We start from the raw sequence: 22,338 nt of genomic DNA, 5'->3' as shown, positions 1-22,338 counted from the left end.
AGATCGTGCCACTGCACTCCAACCTGGGTGGCAGAGTGAGACTCCATCTCAAAAAAATAAAAGATTAAATTAGATTATCTCTGAGGTCTCATCTAACTTATATTTTTTTCACGGTTCTCATTTCTTCATATATCTTTGAAGGGTTTACACTGAGAATTAAGATTGCACATGCCTGCATTTAACCAATATTATAAAACCTCACTGATAATGAATTTTCCTTAACAGAGGCTTAATAAAAGTAAGTAACTGTATGTACCACAAGGAGATCCAAGATGCATTATTGTCACACAATGCTTAATACATACTAAACTGTTTGAAATTTTTTTAAGGTAAATGAAAGACACTATAAGTACATCAGACTTGTTTATTCCTTAGAAAAAGAAGTGTGTTAGACAATGAAACTGTTGGCTTTTATGTATTTCATAAATAAAAGCACAACTATCTATAGAAATGCTTCTGTTTAGAGAAGTCAGTAGTAAAATGTTATACTTTCAACTCAAATTACATAATATAAAAATATAAAGCTCATCTATATTACCAGAAGATAATACCCTCAAACAAACCCATTTAAAAACAGGATGTCCCTAAGTTTTTCAGAAACTTTTATGGATACAATCTTATACTTGTGCTTATGTTCTCTGATAATAATTCTTTTTTTAAAAAAAAAAAGTCCTCAAAGGTAATATTTTTACTTTTTGGAATTTCTGATAAATAAATCATAATGTGATATTCACAGACTTTGTGAGAAAATTACAATATTTATTTACACATTTACATATAGCACAATGTATTGGTCAAGTACTAGTAACAGGCAATTAACAAACTAATAAGAAAATCAGCATTTTAACAATTTAAACGCTTCATGACAGGGTAATTCATGTCCAACATATCAAAAACATATTTATAGATAACTTTAGAAAGAAAATACATACTTTTTTTGATAATCACAAGTAGCAATGAGATTTTCTATATTATTTTCAGTCTCACTTTAGAAATGTTTTAATTGTCTAAATTTAATCAATTCATCGATTAAAGGAAAGACAATAAAATAGTAAAATTACATGTGTTTATATATAAGTGTGTGTGTTTCAAATAACAAAACGCAGGTTGTAAACTAAAATCACTGGAAGGCAAATTGAAGACAAAAGTGATGCTGGTTTAAGTTGTTTGGTTCTTCACATAAATTCCAGTTTCCAAGTTGTGTTTTACAACTCTAGTAATATCCAGATAGATAATTCAACCTGCAACTTTTTTCTTCTATTCCTGTTTTTCTCTTGTTCACACTGTAATTTTTGTCTTTTTACTGATACTGATTAAATAAAATAGGACTTCCAGTCTTAATACGTCTCCCAGGAGAAGTGAAATGAGTTTAACTAGGTATTGAGTATCATTTTCCATTTTACTTTTCTATATTTATCTGATCTAAAAACACTCCAACCATGTAGTTTTTCTTCCATCCTTTTAAGTCACTTACTTTCAGTAAAAAGGGTAAACGGAACACTGAAAGAACCGGGCCAAAATCAAGGTGAAACATACCCCTAGAAATACAGTTATCATAATTTTGGATTTTAGAATGGCCAAACCTATTAATTTACTAAAACTAATCATGAATTCAAAAATCAGCATTGTTTTAAAGAGGTTTTTATTGGAGGTCAGGGCATGATCTACTGCAAAAAGTATACTTTACTCAATACCATATTAGCTCAAAAGAATACCAGAACTTCATGTGGCCAAAGCAGCTGAAATGTCATTACCTTCTTGATTTGGGCAGTTTGGACTAAGAAAGGGGATGCTACTGGAATTTCCACACTGGTCATCTACCTTTGGGGAAACAGCTTGTTCTTGACACTTTCTGTTCTCTTTAGCAAATTCTAATGTCACACTCTCCTCCGCAGGCTGAAATGGCCTCTCTAAACGAACCACTGGTCTCCTTGATTCTACTTCTTGTTCGTGTAGCAATCTCTCGACCTCCACCTCAAGCTCCAAAGTCTCTTCATCGGCTTCTACATCTAGTTGTTGCATCAACTCCTCCAACTTCTTGGCCTTTCGGAGCTCATTTTGCTGTATGATCGTACAAAGGTGTTCAGTGAGTTGCTCTTTTATCTCAGTCTTGCGCTGTATATCTAGCTTTGCTGCAATGTACTCTGCTTCAGCCCTGTCAAACCGCTTCCTGTAAGGATGTGTATAAAGATAGGTCCATCAGTTTTCCATTGAAGAAGATATTCAAAAGAGGATCTAGAAACAATAACTCAACTCCAAAATTGGGAAAAAATATATAATGAAGATACGGATATTACTACTTTACAAACACTTGTCTACATGTTGGCCAGACTAGGCTATGGCTGCTGAAACTTTCACAGTATCCTTACTTGAATTCACCTAATGAAAACATGTTATTCTGCACGAATGTTTTCTTTACAAAGCTGTTTTTGAGTGAAGGCAGGCTAAAAGGTTAATTCAGTGGTATGCTAGTTCTGGGGTGGGAGGATGGGGAGCCCTGATTTGTAGCGTTTACATTTCCATGGGATAATTACTACCACCCTGTCCAATTTCAAGCCACCAACGTGATATTACTGAATGCAGAACTGGGAAGAGATACACAAAATCCACATGAACCAGGGTAAGCTAGCTTCAGCACACAGCTGGTTAAATTTATGAGAAGACAGACAAGAGATGGAGAAAGTGGAAAATTGTTCTCTTGATTAATAAATTAGAAAAAAAGAAAAATTCTGATGGAGAAAGATACGGACAGTGGTCGGGAGATGAATATAAATGGAACAGAGCACACCCAGCAAAATGATACTGGGTGAGGGCAAGAAGTAAACATCAAGTAGAAAACCTCAGGATAGCTATATGCAGGATTTCTCAACCTTGGTGCTACTGACAATTTGGGCCATATAATTATTTGTTGTGAGAAGCTGTCCTGCACTGCAAGATGCTAAACAGCATCACTGGCTTCTACCCATTAGTTGCCAGTAATTCCCAAAATTTATGACAACCAAAAATGTCCCCAGGCATTGCCAAATGTCCCTTATTGGACACAAATGCTCCCAGTTGAGAATCCTTGGGTTAAGTTGTTCTCATTCTCTCCACTACTCCTCTTACACTCTTACTAGGAAATTTTACATAGTTACACATGTATAAACTCTGTTGACAGGTAATCTTATGTGAAGTCTTATGTGAAATAGGGCAATTCTACTAGAGAAGTCACCTTGCAATCTCACTTTTTTTCTTCTGCATTAGGTCAGTACAAAAAGAAGAGTTATCGTGTCTTAATTTATTGTCTTTTGCCTTTTCTATAAAATTTGTTGCTTTTCTTTTTGCAACAAGAGGGTCCTTCCTCTCTTGCAAGAAAAAAGATTGATTTCCAACTAGTTCTTTAATTTCATTACCATTAGCAGTTGTGAAGGCCATGCTGCTTTACCTGTTATGAGTGCCTACATCAACTTAGTGTAATAAGTAGCTTCTAGTACAAGAGTTATAGCAAAAAAGAAACAGGTATATCTCCTAATTTAGGATTCTCTGTCTTGGAAGAAAATACAGTGAAAATAATAAATGGCTTTCATTTTAGAAAACTCAGGGTTCAAAACCTTCCTGACATTTACCATGTGTACCCATTTCGGTCAAGGCTTCTTGTGGATACAAAGAACAGATATCCAGTCAAACTAGCTCAGGTAAAAATTGGGTTTTATTGTAGGATACACGAGGCAATTTCATAGTCATGTCATCAGAATCAAAGGCTATTCTTTTCAATGCTTAGAAGCGACACATTTTCTCTCATTTCAGCTTTCCTATCATACTCACAGGCCAATATGGCCACCACCTGCACTCTGTATCAAATTCACTCCACCCAATCTCTCAGTGATCCAATTCCACACTCTCAGAGGAGAACATAGGTTTGCCCGGCTCATCTCAGTTTAAACAGAACTCTTAGTGTCAGGCCATGCCGTGAACCACTATTTAGCCTATGGATTAAATGTACTGGAGTCGGTAGCCCATCACTATTCTAATTAGGTATGCCCCAGGTCAGCATCCTGAGTCCAAAACACAGCCAGGTTCCTCTGGAAGGGGTTGGGGAAGAGGCATGCAATAACTGAAAATTCCGGCACAGTGACTCTGAGCAGTTACTTAAGCTGAGTCTTGGTCTACCTGTAAAACAATGATGATAATAATACCTCATAGGAGTTTTGAAGATTAAACAGTATAAATGGGGCAAACTTCCAGTTTTGTGCCTGGTAGGTGCTCAAGAAACAGAACTTCTCATTTAGAACACCAGAATCAAAAAGTACTGTTAATATATTAGTAAGCATGAATCTAAAATTAAGATTATGGAAAATTTAGGGACCTGGTATTTATACTTGAAAACTCATTTACATAATGTTAATTTATCCTATTTCCTTTTTTAACTGTAAATATAGTAAATGTAAAAATGAGAGCACCCATTATCTTTCAATAACCCTCTATGTTAAAAGAATTGTTCTAAAGGAACTCTACTGGATACCTAGTTCCCTTATCTCCATACTTTATAACATACCCTGTTCATGTAATGTTCTTGCAACAAGACAAGAGTTCTGACATTCTCTATAGGTGTATGAATACCCTGCCCTGACCCTGCCTCAAACCTCCCTTTTCTGCAAGTCTGTGGTCTCCTTCAGCCAGTCAAAGTCAATCAGTAGAGATTTACAGTCTGGATTCATGAATACTGAATTGAAATTAACATTTGCGAACAGGTCCCTTGGTTTCCATTGATCTATCACCCTGGATAAATCACTGAAGATTTTGTATTTTGTTTATTTATTTAAAGTCCTTCTGGCCAGAAATACGAATATATATTCTCCCACAGAGTGATTTAATGTTTAAAATATTGATTAGTTTCACAAACTGCACTACCAGCCTATGGTCAGGTGGGTAATACCAAATTAGTGTATGATGACATTCTGGAACAAAATAATAAGAGCATTATACATAACACAGTAAGACAGAGTGAACTGGAAATGTAATTATAGAACTGTTTTGTTATTTTAAAGGGGGATGGAATGAATTAATGAATGTTATTTTTAAAGGATTCTAGAAATTGTCTCTTTGTTTTGGTATCCCCTGAAATGTTTAAAAACTCAACCATTAACCCTCAGTATACCACTGGGTTCCACGGGTCCACTTTTAGTTTTTCAGTTCCTTTTCTGAGCAGTTCTCACTATTTGTATAAATTAGCATTTCATAATTTTTATCTTTTCTTAAGTCTTTCAAATAATGAGAAAATTTACTTATTTAAAAAAACAGAATAAAATAAATTATATTTTGCAATTACCAGAGAGGTCCAAAGAACCCTTTCATAAATCTAAGATATATTATAGGATTATTGCAGTATTTTTATATTTCCTGTATCTTGAAACATTTTGCCATTTCATCATCCTAGGAATTATTTCATCATTACTTATCAATTATTCCCTTTTGTAATAAAAAGAAATTAAAATAAGAAAATGATCTGAAAGGATGATGCAATAACTTATCATTGTTGAGCTTCTTTACTGTGCTGTACAAAGTATCATGTCACCTCCAGAAAGTATAAAAGAAGACTGAAAACACCATTTTTGTAACCTGTTTTTAGTTTTCATTTTCTGCCTATCCAGTATTTGCAAAGTGGAGACAACTGACAGAGGAAGACATCTTGCCACTGTTAAAGAAATCAAAAGATGAATGGTGTGGTAGGCTAAAAAATGGCCTCCCAAAGATATTCACTTTCTAATTCCTGGGACCTGTGAATATTACTTTCTATGACAAATGAGTGAAAATTATCTTATATGGAAAAAGATGTGATTAAGATAAAGGTTTTGAGGAGTTTATTCCAGATTATCCAGCTGGACCCTAAGTGTAATCACATGCATCTTTTTAAGAGAAAGGCAGAGGAAGTTTAGAGAGAGAAGAAAAAGCAACATAACTATGGAGGCACAGAATGGCATGGCGTGGCCACAAGCCAAGGGATGCCCACAGCCACCAGAAGCTGGAAGAGGCAAGAAATGGATACCTAGAGTCTCTGAAGAAATCACAAATCTGACACCTTGATTTTGGATATGTGGCCTCCAGAAATGAAAGAGAAGTAATTTCTGTTGTTTTAAGTCACCCAGTTTGGATTACTTCTTATGGTAGTCTTAGGAAACTAATACAAATGCAGAGACACATTCTAGAGTCTAGATGATAAAATCGATCATATGTGAAATCTCAGATGAGTCTTCAGCAAAACATATCCTAGGTGAATTTTCTCAAACTTAAGAATCAGTCAGTAAAAAATATATTTCTAAGCATAGAAAGGAAAAATGATTTTATCATAGAGTTAATCATTTCAGCAGGGAGAACATACACCCAATATTTTACAAGTATCTAGACTATCTTGTGTTGCTACAAGGATGTAACTATACTCTCTCAGCTTTTTATGTTTGTGAGTCAAACATTACTTGATACAAAGATGGTTACCATGCTTACATTCTTATTAAAATTTTAAAGTTGTTTTACACAATCCCTTTTAATCTTACTTTTAAAAATTACTCATAAAGTGATTTAAAAATATTCGTCTGTGGGTGTATGTTTGCATGTATGAGGGTGTCTATGAAACCTAGATGGTCAATAGTGATTTAAAAAAATGTTCTACATGCAGCCACTCTGGATTTTATAAACTGGTCTGCACAGCATATGGCAACATTGTAATCCCAGTGGTGAACAGTAGCAGTAGTAGCAGTAGCAGCAGTAGCAGCAGTAGCAGCAGTAGCAGCAGTAGCAGCAGCAGCAGCAGCAACTCTCTCAAATTGGCTCAAAGTGCTAGTCTTCTCAGAGGTGTCTATCCAAACACTGCTCTACAGAAGCCAATTTTAAAGCAAGTTCTGGCCTATTCACTATCCAAGAACCTTTTGTGGACATAGCACTGTACCAAATACTATAGAACTAAGATATCATTTTTATTAAAAAAAGAAAAAACAAGGAAATCTCCCATAAAAACTGACTGTCCTAGGGATTATCTTTCACTTCAAATCTGGACCATAATATTATTTTACCGATCTGTAATTTCTCAATAACCACAAATGCAAGTTTAGAAAATAATACCTTAATCTTACGCATGAACAAGACACACTACGGTTCTAGTCACCAAAGTCTTTGTTTCCCTTTGACTCAACGCAAGAGCTTCGGCTTTTGAAAATAGCAGCACATGGCCAGGCGTGGTGGCTCACACCTGTAATCCCAGAACTTTGGGAGGCTGAGGCAGGCGGATCACCTGAGGTCAAGAGTTGGAGACCAGCCTGGCCAACATGGTGAAACCCCATCTCTATTAAAAATACAAAAAATTAGCCAGGTGTGGTGGTGGGCACCTATAGTTGGGCTACTCAGGAGGCTGAGGCAGGAGGATCGCTTGAATCTGGGAGGCGGAGGTTGCAGTGAGCCAAAATCGCACCACTGCACTCCAGCCTGGGCAATAAGAGTGATACTCCGTCTCAAAAACCTAAAAATAAAAACAAAAATAGTGGCACACAACATCTACTTACATTCAACTACATCAATATTAGTACCATGAGAAACTGTCATCTGTAACTTACTAAAGATTTAAAAATTTACTAAAATTTCATTTAGGATACTTATAGACTATAGGATGTTTTTTCCTTTAGTAATCCCACCTTCTTTGTTGTGGTTCTTAGAAGGCTAAAACTATGACATTTCTTATATAATACTGAATATGAAAAAGCGTCTTTCTCCAGTTTCCACTAGGACAAAATTAAAATCAAATTACTTTTCTTTCTTTTTTTTTTTTGAGACGGAGTCTCGCTCTGTTGCCCAGGCTGGAGTGCAGTGGCGCAATCTTGGCTCACTGCAAGATCCGCCTCCCAGGTTCACGCCATTCTCCTGCTTCAGCCTCCTGAGTAGCTGGGACTATAGGCGCCCACCACCACGCCCAGCTAATTTTTTGTATTTTTAGTACAGATGAAGTTTCACCGTGTTAGCCAGGATGGTCTTGAACTCCTGACCTCGTGATCCACCTGCCTTGGCCTCCCAAAATGCTGAGATTACAGGCGTGAGCCACCGTGCCCGGCCTCAAATTTCAACTGAGGTACCTAGTACTTCTACCTTATAATATGAATTATTCATATAAAAGGCTACAAAGGCATAAAAATGTTCCTCTGGCAAACTTATGTTACAGAGAATAAAATGTGCTACAAATCAAGGCTTAGTTTAATCTTAAATAAAATCTCTGTTATCTCCCTTAATGACCTTATTAATGGAAACCTGGAACCTCTGGTTATCAGCTACTGATGGCATTCTTTTAAGTAGTTAATTAATAAAGACAACTCTAAGTCTAATAGCATATGGTCCAACAACAATTACAAAAGTCACAAGGACAACCACAAGACTCTTTCTTAAACACTCAACAGTTTATTAAAAACCACAATCAAGCATTTCCGCTTTAATAAATTGTTATATAAACATTCTGATGTTGTGGTTTACCCTGGCCTAATGAGGCATTCTGATTCATTTCTAGTGTAACAGAGTAAGATAGAAAACTGAGTCATTAACACAGCATTCCCTTGTGAAAAAAGACAAACCAGGATGATTAAAGCAATGTTGAAAGGGCTGAAAACCCTGAAATTGGACATATTTTTTTGCCCTTTTATCTGTCTGCAAAGTCCATGTAATTCATTACATGTGTTAGTTCATTTTAAAAATACTCCATGGTATTTTTTCTCTTTTAAAAAATGCCAATGGTTGAAACCAAGGAAACATATATTAAACCATTTCATACAGAGTATAATTGAAAGGAAAAAAAAAGAGAAAATATTTCAAATTTCCAAGACAGAGGATATGCTTAAAATATTCATAAGCTTTTAAAAACTAAACTAGATCCTCTTACTCTGATGAAAGCTAAAGTGAGGACTAGACTTCAATCCTATAGGACTATATCAGATATCAAAAATTTTAATGGAAAGAACACAGACTTGGTGTCAGAGTAACAGTTTTGGCGAAACCACTCAGATATTTACTTTGCTAGATGCTGAAAGATGAGCAAAAACACTTCCAAACATTAAATAGCTGAGGGTTTCGCAGCAAAGACTAAAACGTAAATAAATAATGCAAGAACTGCTCTAATGGCACACGAACAAGGTTAACTAGTAGGGCAGAGTTAAGGAAGACTTCACTGAAGAGGAGACACTTGAATTAGCACAAAAGAAGAATAAATACAGCACTGAATGGGGTTGTTTTGAGGCTTCAATGATGATATACATAAAAGCCCCTGGAACAGCTGGCAATAAACATTAATTAAATCATACTCCTTGTTCAGATTCAATTTCCCCAACTCACCGAGCGTATGAATAGTCTAAGCTGGCCTGATCAATCCGGTTCCTGAGAATTCCAATGTCAGCTGACACCATGTCATCTAAAGCCTGCAACTCCTTCTGGATCCGCTTTAGTTTCATGGTCTCTGCCTGAGTTCTTTTGGATCTAGAAAATCAGGTATGTGAGTGGGAAAATAAGAACATTTTAAAACCATGTGTCCATATACAATGTAAGTGAAAAAGCAAGATACTGCATATACATTTATAATTTATATTTTAAAAGTTAGAAAAAAATCAGAAAAATTGAAATAAAGTAAAAGCTGGTTAACATTTGAGTTTTTGAAATTTTATATTTGCATGTTTCATAAAGTAACAAATAAGTCTAAAAAAACTCAGCAAATAGTTCATTTTAGATTGATATTCATTCTGTAAAGAGAACAAACACTAAAAGAATATATCTGTGTTCCCTTTACATTGAAACATTCAACAGAGCTTTCCAAATTTCTAGTCTTTAATTCTTCCTCTTGCTAAGCCCATTTTCATTTGTCTGATACTTACCTGACATTAAGAACAGATAGATGTCTATACTAAACCACACCTCTTTATATATCTGAGAACATCCACTTAGTTTTAACTTTCTTGGGACCCATTTCCCCAAACTTTTATTGCTTTGATTCTTGTTCTCTAGGAAAACTACTAGTTACGAAAATTCTTTATGGAGCTGAACATCAAAACACTCATTTTCCTTATTTAAAAGCACATCCAACCTCATAATTTCTCAATCCCCTCTCCCAAGTACAATATATACTTAAGAAAGGGAACAAACAAATAAAAAAGCAACCCTTTAATCATGATTTCACTCATTTCAAATTTTCACACACATTGTGAAGGAAGAAGAAAAATCCCCACATAAATCCACCATGTTACATAGCACATTCTCTTGATTTCTACTCTTAGGCATTTACCCTTCCTTTCTGCCTACAAAACTTCACTTAACAGTATGATTCTTTTACGTCAAGTACTTCATTGTCCATTTATTAATAGTTCAAACGTTGTATTTCCTTACACTTCTGTTTATACTGGTGCTGTCTAAAATCAAAAGCACTTATGAGAAGAACTGCTGAGCCTGTACATCTTTTTGTAAAACCACAGAAAACAGCCTTCCCATCTCTTAGAAATTGAAGACTACTAAAATGCTTTAATTATTTTTAAATAATCACTTACCAAAAAAAAAAAAAAAGAGGGCACTACTCTTTTATCTGCTGGTTTTTTCCTTTGAAACATAGTAACTCAGTGAGTTGCATTATTTCCTATGCTTCAAGAAAGATCAAGGTGTACCAGTAGTAGAAAAAGAAAAATCACCATTTCTCAACTACACTCACTCCTCTGGCAGACAAAATTCTGAACTACTCTTATACCCATCACCTTCTTCCCTCTTCTCCTGCCCCTACACATACTCTAGCTTCAAGCAGTAACAGTTTGACAGACTTTTCTGGAAGTCTAAAAAGAAAATGTACTTCCTTGCATTTAGTTTTCACTATTCACAACCATGGATATATTGACTAAGTTTAGTTTCCTAAGGCCACAGGAGATTAGACAGAAACTACAAACTCAGCAAGAGTGGTGGGGGATGGGAAGAATGATTCCAATGGGAATGTTGTTGTGTGCGGCTGGTACAATGCAGTAAATGTGAAGGGGCTGCTGATAGACACTGGAAGGTGAAAGAAAAATTGAATCTCACACAGTGCTCATAATAATGACCCTGAGTCATCAATAAAAAGTTAAACTATATCATGTATCTTCTACTTGTGGAGGCGGGGCAAATTATTTAAGAAAAATGCCCATAGGAAATCCAATTAAGATTCATGGGAGTATGTCACTTATGTAGAAAACCTTATTCCTCTACACATCAAATGATTAAGGCCTCCCCACATAAAAATTAAAACTTGCATTTGTTGCTAATTTACATATACTGATAGCTATTTACTGCTTCCCTTATGAATGTGTAGATGGTTAAAACTGGGAGCACTAATGAAGGTCTTTAAAACTGCAACTATATTTACAAATTTAATATGCTCTATGCTTAAAAAGTTCTCTTTAATAAATTATAACTAGTATTTCAGTATCACTTATAAAGCATAATTTGTTTAGTTAGTCTTAAAAGTAATGGTTGAAGAAAAAATATCAGTTTATTAAAAGAGACATGGGAAAACAAATATAACACATGACACAACTGGTTACAGGTTACAAACAGCCTCTCCTGGTTCAGGTGCCTCACCTTTCTGCAATAGCTTTAGCCAAAAGAGCTTTTTTACGTTTATTTTTCTCTTCCATTAGCCGTTGTTCTTGTTGGAGGACTTCCCAACGAGATTTTTCTTGCCTAGGGGGCAAAAAAAGCATAAAAATGAGTTTATGAAAGAAAAAGAAACTGCTACCCTATCCAACACCTTACCAGTCTCAGTCCTCTAAGTATAAAATTTAATCAAGAAGATTTATGTATATGTTCTTTCAAAAGTCCTCTTAAAAGAAACCCATCTGCAGTTCATTATTTTGCTCTAATGGGAACAAAGACTACGATCTAAAGTAAAGAGGCTTACATAAATTGGACCTCTGAAATCCATTATATATATAATCTAGGAATCCACAAACTGGAAGCCAGAATACTGTGGCATGTGTTTAGGAGTACAAAGAAATTTGTGTAAGTTAATTATGTATTATATGCAGAATGGAGATTAATAAAAATTGGTTTGTAGCTGATGTCATATTATTTATACCTTTTAGAGTTTTCTATAAAGTCTCCACCACCTTAACATGTTTCAGACAATAACCAATGTTTATTTCATATATTAATATTTTCTTTCAATTTGCTCACTTTTTCCCAACTCTTAAGACTTTTTTTTGTCTTTCTTTTTTCCTTTTTGTGGAGAACAGGGTGTCGCTATATTACCCAGTCAGGTCTCGAACTCCTAGGCTCAAGCTATCCTCCCGCCTCTGCCTCCCTAAGTGCTGGGATTACAGGTGTGAGCCACTGTGCCCAGCCCAACTTGGACATTTTTAAACAAAGTAAAACACTAAGAGCTAAGACTGGAATGCTGGGCTAAAGAAAAAAATTCAAAGATGTGAAAACATGTATTGTCTTACAATCTGTCCAATTCTAAAATAAATACATTAAAATTTCCCATAAAGTCATGAGCTTGATGTCAACTCAAATTAAACAAGGTATTGGCAAAGCTATTTATTCCTATTACTGTCACTTCTTACAGCCATTATATCACATACCTCTATTCCCAAATCTAGTAGCCCCTTCCAAAATTGTCCTTCTCTCTCCATTTCTACACCTTCCACCTTAGTGCTGGGACTGGTCATTTCTCACTTTTACTACTGCAGGCATCTCCTCACCAGGCGCCTTAGTTCCACAGCTCACTATGCACTCTCTTGCATATGATCTACAATATTGACACCTGGGATTTCTCTAACCTTTATTTTGATTGCGGCCTTTAGCCCTCAGAGAGCTTCATGGTAACTTGCTGCATTAGTGAACTTGCTAGGAAGGAAGGCATCCCCTGCTTCCGATCCTTTCTCATTTCTTTAATTCTCTACTTATTCATCCCCTGCTTCTGCTTCTGATCCTTCCTCAGTTCTGCTTTTTTTTTTTTTTTTTTTTTTTGGGACAGAATCTTGCTCTGTTGCCCAGGCTGGAATGCAGTGGCATGATCTTGGCTCACTGCAACGTCCACCTCCCAGGTTCAAGCAATTCTTGTGCCTCAGTCTCCCAAGTAGCTGGGACTACAGGCATGCACCACCACGCCCAGCTAATTTTTTTGTATTTTTGGTAGAGACAGGGTTTCCCCATGTTGGCCAAGCTGGTTTCAACTCTTGGCCTCAAGTGATGTGCCTGCCTCAGCCTCCCAAAGTGCTGGGATTATAGGTGTGGGCCACCACGCCTGTCCTCCTTCCTCATTTCTTTAATTCTCTACTGTTCTCTGGCTTATCCTTTGCCACCTCTCCCAGAGAAATGAGGTATCATCTCTGAACATTCTCTAGGACACAGCTTTCCTTTCTCCTCCTTAAAACCTCAAAATTTCTCCTTTACGTGAATGGTTTGAGGTTACAGGTCTTTTATGAAAATTCTTCCAAGTATCCAAAAAAAGAATAAGTTTCCCTATAACATCCAATCCAAATTGTCCAGCTCAATGTAAACTTACCTCCTATTTGTCTCCGGCCTTTGTTAGTAAACTACACTTAGAGACACTTTAATGTATGCACTTGTTCAATATAGGTTTCATAATTCATGTGGTTTTATAACTCTTGTCAAAATGATTTCTTAGTTGTAAACCCCTAGTGGACAGGAAACATTTTAAATTCACAGGATAGAATCTGGATCAGCAGAGATTAAAAAGATGTCAGAGATTAGAAAAAAAAAAAGATACTTTGAAAAGAACTCAGAAAAGAGAAAACAGAAAAATGTCATTCCTTCTCTGTGAGAGATAAATCAGGAGCAAACAAAGAAATAAGAGTATATATTAAAACACAAGCTATCAAATAAAAAATTCTAAGAATTTGCAAATCAAAAAATGGCATCTTCCACAAGAACAGTGTAGCTAAATTATGAAGGTTGTTTCTAATACAAAGACAGTAAAGAATAAATAAAAAGAAATCTAATGATGAACTGAGTTATATCATTAGTCCCCTAAATTTCCTACACTCTCTCCTTTGACCATCCCTTCACGTCTCTCCACAAGTTCCAATTTCTGGGCCAATGGAAATAGTCTGGAAGTTGAAAAAAGGGGTCAATTTGGGCAGAGGCACTATGCATATAAGAACTGCTTCTGAGCTGTGATTGCGCCATTGCACTCCAGCCTGGGCAACAGAGCGAGACTCCATCTCAAAAAAAAAAAAAAAAGAAAGAAAAAAAGAACTGCTTCTGCTCAGTGTAAAAGGCATAAACTTTGGATCCAGACAGACTTATCTGTAAATCTCTACTATTTACTAGCAGTGTATTAGCTTTAGAAAGGTATCATCTTTTCTGAGTCCCAGATACCTCATGTATAAAGTTTAAATAATAAACATGCATTGTAAGGCTGTTATGAAGACTAAAGAACATAAAACATACAGAATGCCTGTGTCCAGCTTATATTTAGGCAGTAGCTATTTTTCAATAGTTTATACATCACATTCCTATGATTGAATGAATATAAAGGAGAGAAAATGTTAAAATAAACAAATTATATTTCCTTAAAGCCCATTGGGAAAAAACGGGTTAAATGAAAAGTCTCATGGACTTTTCACATAGACTTACTAACAATTCCACTTTCTTTTTCTCCAATTTGCAATCTGGCTTTGGAGGTAGAATCTCAACATTGTTGTGACCATCATGGGAATTCTCAAGTCCCAGTTCCTTTGGCTGACTTTCAATGCCCTGTGGTTGTCCATCACCAACGGGGGAGGTGAGAGTGAAATGACTCGGAAGAGTAGGGGAAGAAAAAGGTGGTTTTTGAACGTTAACTCTCTGTTTTGGTGCTGAAAGCAGCTGCTCTGGAAGTAATGAGGTTGATCCATCTTGAAGCCCAAGTTTTTGGCTTTGCTCTACAAGGGCTTTTTCTCGCTGAAGTTGTTGTCGACTTTTCTTCGCGGGGAGACGTCGCTGTGGTTCAAATGGATCTATGTAAAAGAAAATAGAGGAAAATTCCTTTGTGTGGGCAGCAAATAATTATAATTCCTCTAAGAAAATAAAAAATTAACATTAAACGTTGATAATTCTAGTGGTTCTCCTACCCCATTCTCTATCTTGAAAGTCTAGGGGAAAAACAGCCATCTTCCTGTAGAGTTTCAATAGTTTTCAGATCATAATGTTAATATTTAACAGAAACTGCCCCATCTCTTAATTTATCTTCAGAGAAAGTCCATCAGTGAGTTAGGCCTTAGGTCACAAAGTGAAGTTTCTTTTTCAACTTGATTTCATAGTTGTCAAAAGAAAGCAACTAATTTTGACCAAATCAGGGAGGTGACTGAATTATCTGGTTTTAAATTTGATTTATGGTTCTGTCTGCTCTACTGAAACAAAATGGTGGTTGCATTTTCAAATGGGATTACCCTCTCTTAAATTTTAACAGCTTTTAGGGCAATTTGGTACATATGTGATACATATTCAGATGCTATAACAGGCATGTAATTGAGTGAAGTCTCTTATTTCTAGGAATGCTAGTTAACCTTAAATTGTTGTCTTTCATCCTACAGAACAATCCAAGGTTGTACTCCCCGAAGCCTAGTCAGGCTCTAATCAATGCATTCAAACTGATTTTAATAGTAGCCTCAGTAAAGCAATAGAAGATAAAACAACTGGGGGGAAATATCTTTAAAGTTATAAATAATAACACTTCTATTATACTTTTTGGACTGTCCATGCCAGTGTTAACATCTTAGGGCAGACAATTGGAGAATCTGACCCACATTCATACTATATTTCATAAGATCTATAAATAGCATTCTCTCTTAAATGCCTGGGAAGTGAAGTTATCAGTTCTTGTAAATGAACAACTCAAATGGGACTTTCAAATTTGGCATATTGACTTTTGAAGCAAAACAAGCTTATTATTTGAATTTCCCAAAGTATAGTTAAAAGCTCTAGAGTCACAATTCCAGCTTTGCTTCTGCCCAGCTCAGTGACCTCAGGTAAGTCAATTATTTATTCAATACCTTAGTTTCCTCATCTATCAAGCTGGTTGAAAATTAACCTGCTCTACTTAATGCATGAAGTTGGTGTAAGAATTAAATGAGATATGTACAGAAAATATTTTTTAAAAGACTGAAGTACTATCAAAAGCAAATGTTATTGTTGACTTTAGCCAGAAACACAAAGTATCCTGTATCTTGCAACAGGAACACATTCTTGGCTCTGATCTTTATTCACACCATCAAAAAATGTCACTTAGCCTGCTTATCTCCCTGTTGAACTCATTAGCTGAATTATTAATAGTTCCTCTGAAATTCAGGTAGTAACTTCTATTTTATTTTGCATTTTTACAGAACCTACCTATAAGACTGAAAATGCTAATTTTAAACAATAAACAATAAGCAAATCAGGCCACTTAAACACAGAACATATTGCTTCCCACACTCTGTATTAGGGGCTGCAAATATCAAGGAGACTGTGGTGAACTGAGAAGCGTAAGTCTAGTGTAAAGGGGGCAAATTCCGAGTCACCTTTAGTCAATTGCTATCATTAAAAAATTTAGGTCACCATAGCCAGATATTTTGATTTTTATGATTACAATTTAGACTTTTATGTAAAATATCTTGATTTTTAAATGTAGGGAACTGTTTCAATCAGGAAAATCTAGATTACGCTGTAGGGGCAAATCTTAGTGGTTTTAAACCACAAAGGTTTATTTTTCATTAATGCCAAGTGCCAACTAAAGGCTAACAGAGAGGTTCTGCTGATTAGTCTCTCAAGGCTCTAGGCTGACTGTACAGTCAGTATTCAGTGTTGCTGGCCACCACAACACAAGGAGAAGAGAGAGGTCAGGAAGGTCTTGCTATAGCAATTAACTGCTGACCCAGTAGTGACATAACACTTCTGCTCACAATGCAATGGCTAACCTAGTACATGGACCTACCCCCAAACAAAGGCAACAGGTATAGCTGGCTTAGCAAATAACACAATGATTATCACCATTATTAACTAAAAGAAATGTAAAGATTGGATAAAAGAAAGAGAGACAAAGAAGAAAGAAAGGAATGAAAGAGGGAGGGAGGGAAGAAGGGAAAGAAAGGAAGGCAGGCAGGAAGAAAGGAGGGAAAAAAGAAAGAAGGGGAAAGAAAGGAGGCAAAGCTGAAAAGCCACATACATTTTTGGGTTAAATTAAGCTAATGGGCTACCAGTTTGTGATATATACTCCATATCCTTTATTTAAGCCCTGCTCCCTCCACCTCAGAAAACTATCATTTGAATCATATGTTGATTATTCTCTTCCTTCTCTAATAGTCATATTGCATCTACAAATATTTCTAAAAAGTATTTACTTAGTTGTTTGACTTTATAAAAAGGGTTTTGTGCTGTACATCTGTTTTACTTAATATTACACTGTCAATAGTCATTCATATTGTCTATGTTTCAGCAGTCATTCATTTTGTTGTATAACATTTCATTGTGTGAATAAACCAGAGTCTATTGATCTTCTTCCACTGATAGACATTTAGGTTGGTTACAGGTTTTTGCTTTTGTAAATTTCAATAATGTGTCTCTTATTTTACATGTACAAGAATTTGCTTTGGATATTATCTAAGAACTACTGAGTCACAAAATATAACTTTAGAAGAAATGTGAAAATGCTTTCCAAAGTGTGCTCCCTCTAGTAATGTATAAGATCCTGTGGATGCACTTTCTCTTCAATACACGATACTGTCAGATGTTTTAATTTTTGTCAATCAAATGGGTGTAAAATAGTACCTCACTGTATTCTTGATTTGTAATTCTCTGCTCCTTGGTGGTGATGAGCATCTCTTCATATTTCCTTTTCTAGGAAATATCTATTCATGTCTTTTGTTGACTTTTCTTTTGTCTTGTATTTTTTATATATCAGCAGAAAACAATTAGAAAATACAATTAAAGAGAATATATTTCAATACCAGAAATTATTACTTATCTAGGAACAAATCTAACAAAAAGATGTTTAGTACCTCTATAGGGAAAACTCTAAAATTTTATTGAGAATTTAAACAAGTACTAAATAAACGGAGACATATACCACGTTAGTGGCAATGTTAATAATATGAAGATGAAATTGATCTAAAGATTCAATGCAATTACAATCAAAATTCCTAATGGGTTTTCCATTAAATTTGGTAAAATTATTAAAATTTTTATATGAAAAGATAGAAGGTCAAGAATACTGGCTGGGTGCAGTGGCTCACACCTGTAACTACTATACTAAGTATAGTAAGAAACTAATTTCTTAAGACATGGAAATGTTGGCTATTAAAAAAAGGTTGACATATTTGAATACATTAAAATTAAGGCCTGGAGTGGTGGCTCATGCCTGTAATCTCAGCACTTTGGGAGGCTGAGGAAGAATTTCTTGAACCCAGGAGTTTGAGACCAACCTAGGCAAAATAGCAAGATCCTATCCCTACAGAAAAAAAAAGAAGAAAGAAAGGAAGAAAACTAGCATGGTGTAATGGCACACAGCTGTAATCCCAGCTACTTGGAAGTCTGAGGCAGGAGGATCGCTTGAGCCCAGGAGTTCAAGGTTATAGTGAACTATGATCGTGCTACTGCACTTCAGCCTGGGCAACAGAGTGAAAGCCAGTCTCAAAAAATAAAATACTTTGTTCATCAAAAAGATAAAAGTGAAAAGATAACTTAAAAACTGGGAGAAGATATTCATAATGTAACTGGCAAAGAATCAGTATGAAGAATAACTCTTCTGAATAAATAATTTAACTAAAAATTGACAGCATGTGGCTGTACTGTTTTCTTCCAATTTTTCATTATGAAATAGACCATACATCAAATATATGCATGTGTTACACTCATAAACACACACACTCAGTCTTCCAACCTATATGATTAAAAAGAAAGTTTAAGAAATAAAATATGACAGTAGTAGAAGTAACTACTCTTTAAGGATAGACATAATCCTCCTTTTAGAAGAGAGAATTTATTTCCTGTCTCCCAAGTTATATGACTTGCTTTTGGTAAATAAAAGTAGGAGTGTCACATGTCATTTACTGGTGAAAGGATTTAATTGCCAATGTTCAATTTTCAATCTTCTTTTCTTCCTACTATGGTAAACTCCTACAAGACAGCACCAAAAAACGGAGTGACTGTGCAACACAGTCACCTGCCAAACCCACATTAAACATGAAACGAGTGAAAACCAAATCTTTATTTTAAACAATTGACTTATTAGGGCTATTTGTTACTTTAGCTTAACTTGTCTTAACCTGATTTCATAAATACCAATACCTCTGAAATTCCCTCTCCCTGATCACATTCCCACGCCTCCCCACTATATACAATCATACGTCACTTAACAAAGGGATACATTCTAAGAAATGTGTTGTAAGGCAATTTTGTCCTTGCGCAAACATCAGAGAGTGTATTTACACAAACCTAGATGGTACAGCCTACTATATACTTAGGCTATATGGTACAGCCTTTTGCTCCTAAGCTCCAAACCTGTACAGTATGTCACTATACTGAAGACTGTAGGCAACTGTAACAACGGTATTTGTGTATCTAAACATAGAAAAAGCATAGTAAAAACAGGGTATTATAATATTACCAGACCATCACCATATATGTGGTCCGCTGCTAACTGAAATACTGTTATTGAGTGCGTGACTGTATATATTATATATACAGCTAGCTGATCCTTGGTATATGAGGATAATTGGTTCCAGGATCCCCATGTATACCAAAATCTGTGCATACTCAAGTCCCACAGTTGGCGCTGTGAAGACCACATACACCAAAAGTTGGCCCTCCATATACTCAGGTTTTGCATCCCCCAAATACTGTATTTTTTAAATGCACATTTGTGTATAAGTGAACCATCACAGTTCAAACTTGTGTTGTTCAAGGGCCAAGTGTAACTACATATACTGTATTAACAAACATTTTAATGCATGTGGCTACAGTTAATACTAATATATTCCCACCAGCTGTACAGTAGCCCGCTAGATGAGTATACCACAATTTATTTATCCATTCCCTTGTTAATGGACACTTTGGTTGTTTCCAACTTCTTAATATTATAAACAAGACTATTAACAACTTTCTTGACTATGTTCCTCAATGCCCATACAGGGGTCTCCAGAGTACTACTGTCCTTATTTTTCCTGGCAACCAACTCCATCTTCCTAAATTATTCAATAAATTTTTAAAGATAGAGAACAGCTAGAAATGGCTTTAAAATTAAAGGGCCAAATCCTCTAATTTTACAAATAAGGAATCCAAGGAGAAAAGATTTAGAGGAAGAGCTGGAAGTTCTATATGCCAATCACTGTGTTTAGCTACGGGTATACAAGGAGGTTAAGATATTTTCCGTCCTCGAGGTGGTCACGGACTAGCGATTTGGTTTCCACACTACAGTGGGCCTTGAAGTTCAGGTCCTCACCATCCTCTATCTACCCCCGGTTGCAAAGATATTTCAAAATATACTTCTACATAATGAATATGTTGTTTAATTTAGATTTTTATATTAAGTCATCTTTACCCTGGAAAATGCGCCTCTGCTAACACACAAACTTTGTGAAATCTTCCCAAGCTCCATCCAATCCCCGGCAGAGTGAGGTTCCTCTTGTCTCTGAAGCAAGTTCTTGCAATATCTACTATCACATAACTTTGTGGTTTGTCTCCTCATGAGTCTACTGGAGTCAGACCAGAGGCCAGGGCACTTGTACCCTGTATATCAAAGTATGTGAATGGATGTTGAAAACACAAAGCAAAAGAATTTGAGTATATCAAGCAACACAGAGTCAGTTAACTACATAGCTTAGCCTAACCTTTATGATAGAGTTTTTAAAGTCCCCTGGACCAGTCAAAATGTCCCCAGTCGATATAATCTACATTGGCCCTATCTTACTAATTTACTTCTTTTCCCACTTGTCTGCCCTAGATTATTCTCATATTTATGCTAAAAATGCACAAGCTACCAGAGCAACATCCAATTTCCCCACAAACGCTAACAAAAGGTTTACTTCATTTGCTACCAAAATAAAGTATTTGAATTAAGGTACCAAGAGTGATGTACACTTCTTACAGAAATTGTGTGTACTACCACGATAACCATACAGATCACTGCGAAATTTCAACCACAAGCAAAGTGCAATTAATATTACTAAGTTTTCCACCAACAATCAGCAAACTTAATTCCTTCCACAACAACAAAAAAATTGTACAAGCCCATTCAATGATTACTCTATAAAGCCAGAGAGAGAAGCACAAGGTTAGCTTACTCCAAAGTCAGTAAGACTGTATGTATATAAACATATAAAGTCTTCACATCTACCCTCTCAAAGACCCTTTTGGTTTGCTGATTCTCAAAAATTGGGAAGTACTGCAAAAATCATCTGGCAACCAGAAGTGAATGCAACACTCCAGATGAATTGTGAAAAGTACCGAATTTTTGCCTTTATTCAGACGCCTGTGCTCCTTTTTTCCAACCATCTGCTTCTATAAATTCATCACAATTCTAATACGGTGTGCGCCCCTCCTCCTTCCCTTACCCTGACCCTAACCTTCCAACCGTTGATTCCTGCAGCAATCTTCCCTAAGGGAGACACCCCGGCTGTAGGCTCACTTCCTCTCCCAAGTCCCATTCCTTTCACAAGAGTCAAATCCCTACAGTGGATTCCTGGACCGTTTTTTCTAAAAGAAGATCCCAGTCCTCTGGCTTGCCCCTCCCGTCGTGACTCCCAGTAAGTCCTCCTCTGAAACCCCCTAATCCAGTCCACGTACTTACAGCGCCTTCCGCTAACACAAACGTAGCCGCTTCCACGCCCCCTTTCCCCGCCAAAGCTGCATCCCCGCCTCTTCCCCTTAAGACCCAAGAATTAAACCACTGTAAACCCATCTTGTAACCTTTAGTCTGCTTTAGTCTCCTCAGTTCCTCCTCAGAGAATCCTGCCCAACCTTGCGCCATCGGCCCGGGCCACCGGCACCCCCAAAAGTGCCCAAATCTCGCAGCCGCGACTGCCAACACTGCTGCCCAGCTCATCCGGGTTTTTCCCCGGCCGCGGCCAATCAGTGCATCGGGCTCCAAACACAAGGCCCTCTCTCCCCGGCCTCAGGGTCCGGCTTCCTTCCAGGCTGCCTTCAGCAGTGCCTGACAAACTGCCTAAGGAAACCTTGCCACGCAGACATTCGTTTCCTCTGGCTTACCTCTACTCTCTCTCTCTCTCATTGTTTCTCACTGTTGCTGGTTAATCGCTTCAGGAGCTAAGGGGGGAAATGGCGATGGGGATAAGGGTGGAGATAAACAGGTATTTGGGAAGGAGCAACAAGTCGGTGGCGGAAACG

General features: G+C 36.5%; 1 protein-coding gene and 1 long non-coding RNA gene across 6 annotated transcripts in view; one reads left to right on the top strand and one right to left on the bottom strand.

Moving 5' to 3' along the window:
• Positions 351–22,019, bottom strand: GORAB (golgin, RAB6 interacting). Of its 5 annotated transcripts, NM_001320252.2 has the most exons (7): positions 21,901–22,019; positions 20,534–20,721; positions 17,764–17,875; positions 14,618–14,975; positions 11,593–11,694; positions 9,340–9,480; positions 351–2,170 (listed from the first exon to the last, which is right to left on the bottom strand). In NM_001320252.2, the coding sequence occupies exons 5-7, from the start codon at positions 11,646–11,648 to the stop codon at positions 1,723–1,725; spliced, it is 645 nt and encodes a 214-aa protein (NP_001307181.1). In that variant the 5' UTR covers positions 11,649–11,694; positions 14,618–14,975; positions 17,764–17,875; positions 20,534–20,721; positions 21,901–22,019; the 3' UTR covers positions 351–1,722. The 5 variants fall into 5 exon arrangements, 4 of the variants coding, with proteins under 4 accessions (NP_001307181.1, NP_689494.3, NP_001397823.1 ...); NR_027397.2 differs by lacking the exons at positions 17,764–17,875; positions 20,534–20,721 and having other exon boundaries at positions 14,614–14,975; NM_152281.3 differs by lacking the exons at positions 17,764–17,875; positions 20,534–20,721.
• The window catches only part of GORAB-AS1 (GORAB antisense RNA 1), a 71,293-nt gene continuing 70,530 nt past the window's right edge, over positions 21,576–22,338 (top strand). The window contains exon 1 of the long non-coding RNA NR_125958.1: positions 21,576–21,737. This is a non-coding gene — a long non-coding RNA (GORAB antisense RNA 1). The remainder of the gene's footprint in view (positions 21,738–22,338) is intronic.

This window comes from Homo sapiens, chromosome 1, assembly GCF_000001405.40.
Source record: "Homo sapiens chromosome 1, GRCh38.p14 Primary Assembly".
NCBI classification, from domain to species: Eukaryota; Metazoa; Chordata; class Mammalia; order Primates; family Hominidae; genus Homo; species Homo sapiens.
Note: the sequence above shows the minus strand (reverse complement) of the source record. Positions and strands in the feature narration are given on the sequence as shown.

Excerpts from the sequence above, each read along its gene's own strand:
- GORAB (NM_152281.3), bottom strand. The coding sequence starts at position 21,961 with ATGGCGCAAGGTTGGGCAGGATTCTCTGAGGAGGAACTGAGGAGACTA. Across the intron at positions 11,695-14,617 it reads GAGAAAAAGAAAGTGGAATT|GCAAGAAAAATCTCGTTGGG; the intron begins GTTAGTAAGTCT and ends TTTGCCCCCTAG. Across the intron at positions 2,171-9,339 it reads TTAGACTATTCATACGCTCG|GAAGCGGTTTGACAGGGCTG; the intron begins GTGAGTTGGGGA and ends ACATCCTTACAG.